The sequence below is a fragment of the Homo sapiens genome, chromosome 7 (assembly GCF_000001405.40).
Source record: "Homo sapiens chromosome 7, GRCh38.p14 Primary Assembly".
NCBI lineage: Eukaryota > Metazoa > Chordata > Mammalia > Primates > Hominidae > Homo > Homo sapiens.
The window spans coordinates 103,069,907-103,074,695 of record NC_000007.14 but is presented as its reverse complement, the minus strand read 5'-3'; the positions used below and the strand labels follow the sequence as shown (position 1 = coordinate 103,074,695).

Genomic DNA, 4,789 nt, shown 5'->3' with positions numbered 1-4,789 from the left:
GTACTGGACACGCGTGGCAGCGGACACAGACCGTCGGTGGGGAGTTAGAAGGGGGAGGAGTCAGGAAAGACTTCCCGGAGGAGGGACTAGGTTTCGGGATTGGGGAGGAGTGGAGGGAAGGCGGGGCAGAATGCGAGAAAGTGAAGTCAAATTCGGACTTGTAGGCGATCAGGGCTGAAGACGCTGATTAGAGAGAAAACAGAGGGTGATGGTGGCTGCACGTGGGGAATGGGTGACATCTCCCAGGGGGAATGAGCACAAGGCCCAGATCGGAAACCCCAAACTCAGATTTTAAGGTTTGGACAAGAAGTACCTGAGGAGTGGAGGAGTGAGAAAGAAGTGCCAGAGAGCCTGAGGAGGAAAATCAGCAGACTGGCATTATGAAGAATGTTGTCAGAAGTAGGGAGTAGGCACTAGTCACCTAAGATAAGGAGCTGGATTCTGCCCAAGGTGAGCCTGAGGTTTCCATGGAGCCGTGAGGGCAGAAAATAGATGGAGGTTAGCGGAGGGAAGAGTGGAAGCTGAGACCTTTGGTCAGTGTAGTCAGCCCTTTGTGAAGGTAAGGACCCTCTCAACCAGGATTGCCTTTAGACAACAGGAAGGACTGCCCTCCTACTGCCGTTATAAGAGTAGGGAAGGAAGACAGGAAGGGGATAGACATTAGGTTTTGTAGGTTTGGGGGTAGGAAGCTGAGAACATTTGCCTTTGTTGACCTCTTTTTTTCTCTACAAATAGTTGGTGAGATATTTACCAAGAATGTGCGTGTTTGAGTGGGGATGGGGATGTTGGTGCAGTAGGAGGTTCGAGCAAAGATACGTTATGTGGAGAATGAGGGAGAGAGATGTCTAGGGAAAGAAAGAGGAGGTCCTACCTGAGGGTAGTAACGCTCCTAGGCGGTTGGGAGGGCAATTTGGTAGAGACCCCCCACCCGTCTCTTTTTTGGATGGTAATTGAGAAATATTTATTAAGATGTTAAATACATGTACCCTTTAACCAAGCATTTCTACTTCTAGGGATCTACTTTAGAGAAATACTTGCACATGTGTTCAGGAGGATGTACAAGGATATTCATTATAACTTTGTTTCATAGTAAAAATAGTAAATGACCTAGAGTGACTAAGCGAATGAGGCATTATGTAGAATAAAGTATATCTGTACCTACTAAGAAGAAATGTCCTCCAAGACATATTATTATTATCATCATTATTATTGAGACACGGGGTGTTGGTCTGCCACCCAGGCTAGGGTGTAGTGGCTCCATCCTAGCTCACTGCAGCCTCAAACTCCTGGGCTCAATTGATCCTCCCACCTCATCCTCCCAAGTAGCTAGGACTACAGGCATACACCACATGGCTGGCTCCCAACACATATTATTAAGTAAAAAAGAAAAAGTGCAAGTTGCTTAGCAACTGTCCATTCTGCTCTAGCTGTCCATTTGATTTCATATATGTTGTATATGTGTTTATGTACATATATGTGTATATATCTAGCTTTAAGACAATAGTGCATGCATAGAACCTATGCCAAACTGTTAATAACAGATGTCTTGTGGAATGGTTTTGGGGGAAAAGATGGAGAATTCTAACTTTTTACTCTGTCCATAGCTGTATTGTTTTAATTTATTACAGTGAGTTTTGTGTTGTACCTCTATACAATTGTGCTTGAAAATATGTAGGGAGAATGGTACCCATCTTCCCGGTTGTGTGATTTTCTCAAGTAGCAGTCAGTAAATCAGATGTAGGTACAGAGATAACCAAGTTGACTTCGTCTGGGATAGGAATTTGCCAGGCATATATTAATAGAATGGAAAGGCAGTAGGTTAGGGAGCTAAGCTCCTGAGTATCTGAAGTGATGGGCCAAGGACTCTAAGGACTCAGTGGGAAATGAGAAAAGGATATCATACTGATACATGGACAGAAAGTGAAGACTCCTCTAAGAGGTGAGTGAAGAGAAGTAGAGGGAGTAATTAAGTGAGGGAGCTGGAAACACAGGAGGTGGGGGTCAGAAAGTGGAACGTTTATATTTACAATTCAGGGTGCAGCCATTCTGAGTGATGGCTCAGTCTGTGATATGGCGGTGGAGCAGGTGGCAGAAATGGACTTGAGTTGAGAGTCAGGGTACATCAAGGAAGGGATGGCCTCTTCTCATCTAGGCCGCCAGTTACTATAACATCACAAAGCTGCAATGAGGCAGTCCCCAGTTCCCCCTCTGGGTGAAAGCATTCCTTCCTTACCAGCTTACTGCATTGTTCTGCACCCATAGAGGAGGCCCTTATATGCATTCTCCATTGTCTAAGATCATGTTCTCCTGAGGAGTCCTTCACTCACCTCTGCTAGCACACTAGCAGGAAGTGCAAAGGAGCAATCCTCTGGGCCCCACACACCCACCTTAAACTCATTACCCATTTCTTCTAAGAGAATATCAAGATGAATTCCATTCTGCCTCATATCCTGTCTGTACATTTATTTATCTGACTCAATTTCCCAGATGGGTTTTATACTTTTTTTTTTTTTGAGACAGAGTCTAGCTCTGTCGCCCAGTCTAGAGTGCAGTGGTGCCATCTCAGCTCACTGCAACATCCGCCTCCTGGGTTCAAGCGATTCTCCTGCCTCAGCCTCCCAAATAGCTGGGACTACAGGCACCTGCCACCATGCTCAGCTAATTTTTGTATTTTTAGTCGAGACAGGGTTTCACCATGTTGGTCAGGCCGGTCTCGAACTCCTAACCTCAGGTGATCCACCCGCCTCAGCCTCCCAAAGTGCTGAGATTACAGGCATGACCCACCACAGCATGACCCACCATGTCTGGCAGGTTTTATACTTTTCTAAAACCCATCTTCTGCAAGCCTTGGAATACATAAATAACCTTTCATTAAAGTTTTCCCTGTATATTTAACCTCTTCTGAATTTCATCTACCTGTCCTAAATAAAACCTGATTTTCTACCTACAATATCATTTTCCTGCAAATCTCTTGAATAGAGACTGATTTTTTTAAAAATCAGGCCTGGCTTGGTGGTTCATGCCTGTAATCCCAGCACTGTGAGAGCCCAAGGCAGGTGGATTGCTTGCCAGGAGTTCAAGACCAGCCTCGGTAACATAGTGAGACCCTGTGTGTACAAAAATTAAAAAAAAAAAAAAAAAAAAGCTAACTTGTCTTAGTGGCTCACACCTGTAGTCCCTGCTACTCATGAGGCTGAGAGGAGAGGATCACTTGAGCCCAGGAATTTGAGGCTGCAGTGAACTATGATTGCACCACTGAACTCCAGCCTGGGTGATGGAGCAAGACCCTATCTCTAAAAAAATAAAAAATTAAAAAACATTTTAAACAATCCTGCTTGGTCCCCTGGGCTTACTGAATCTGTTGATAGATATTTTTCATCCGTTTTAGAAAATTCTTGGTTCTTTTCAAATAGTACTTCTATTCAGTTCTCTCTTTTCCTTTTGGAACTCCAATCGTACATATGTTAGCTTTTTTTTTCTTTTTCTTTACCTTGTTCTACATGCCTCTTTTGATCTCTTCTGCTTTTTCCCCATTTTCTTCTTTTTGAGCTCAAGTTTGGATCTTTTTCATTGATGGTTTTCAAGTTTACTAATTTTGTTTTATGCTGTGTCCAGTCTACTCTTAAATACATCAAATGAAATCTTAATTTTAGACATGTTTTTCAGTTCTAGAATGACAATTTGATGTTTAAATAAATTCTGATTATTAGAATTATGCATCTTTTCATTCAGTTTGCCTTTTTCTGTTTTCTTTATTTGTTCTCTCCAAATCTGTTAAAATTTGATCCCCAGTGTTGGAGGTGGGGCCCAGTGGGAGGTATTTGAGTCATGTGGGCAGATCCCTCAAGAATGGCTTTGTGCCCTCCCCTGTGATAATTAGTGAGTTCTCCCTCTATTAGTTCACCCAAGAGCTGGTTGTTTAGAAGAGCCTCCCTCTAGCTGTTTCTCTTACTCCTTCTCTTCCCATGTTACATGCTGGCTCCCTTTGCCTTCTGCAGTGAGTAAAAGCTTCCTGAGGCCTTCGCCAGAAGCCGAGCAGATGCTGGCACCATGCTTCTTGTACACCCTGCAGAACCCTGAGCCGCATACAACTCTTTTCTTTATAAATTACCTGGCCTCAGGTATTTCTTTATAGCCGTGCAAAATGGATCAACACACATGTTGATGGTTGTTATTTTAAAATTATTGTTTGTTGCTTATGCCTGTAATTCTAGCACTTTGGGAGGCCGAGGTGGGTGGATCACTTGAGGCCAGGAGTTCGAGACCAGCTGAAACCCTGTCTCTACTAAAAATACAAAAATTTGCCAGGTGTGGTGCACGCCTGTAATTCCAGCTATTTGGGAGGCTGAGGCATGAGAATCGCTTGAACCCAGGAGGCAGAGGTTGCAGTGAGCTGAGATCACACCATTACACTCCAGCCTGGGTGATGGAGTGAGACTGTGTCTCTAAAAAAATAAATAAATAAAATAAATACATAAAATTAAATCATTGTTTGTTAACTTGAATATCCAGATCATTTGTGGGTCTGCTTCTATTGCTTATTTTCTTCTGTTGATAATTCAAGACATTTTCCTGCCTTCATACATACCTAGTAATTTCTTTTTTTTTTTTTTTTTTGAGACAGAGTCTTGCACTGTCGCCCAGGCTGGAGTGCAGTGGCGGGATCTCGGCTCACTGCAAGCTCCGCCTCCTGGCTTCACGCCATTCTCCTGCCTCAGCCTCCCGAGTAGCTGGGACTACAGGCGCCTGCCACCATGCCCGGCTAATTTTTTTGTATTTTTAGTAGAGA

At 43.6% G+C, this 4,789-nt stretch overlaps 1 protein-coding gene across 15 annotated transcripts in view; it reads left to right on the top strand.

Moving 5' to 3' along the window:
- The window catches only part of FBXL13 (F-box and leucine rich repeat protein 13), a 263,608-nt gene that overhangs the window by 101 nt on the left and 258,718 nt on the right, over positions 1–4,789 (top strand). For 2 of the 15 annotated variants that reach the window (XM_017011852.2, NM_145032.3), the window contains exon 1: positions 128–450. The exons of the other annotated variants lie outside the window; for them this stretch is intronic. The gene's annotated coding sequence lies outside the window, so the exon portion shown is untranslated. Of the gene's footprint in view, positions 1–127; positions 451–4,789 lie in introns of those variants that run through there. 15 annotated transcript variants of the gene reach the window in all.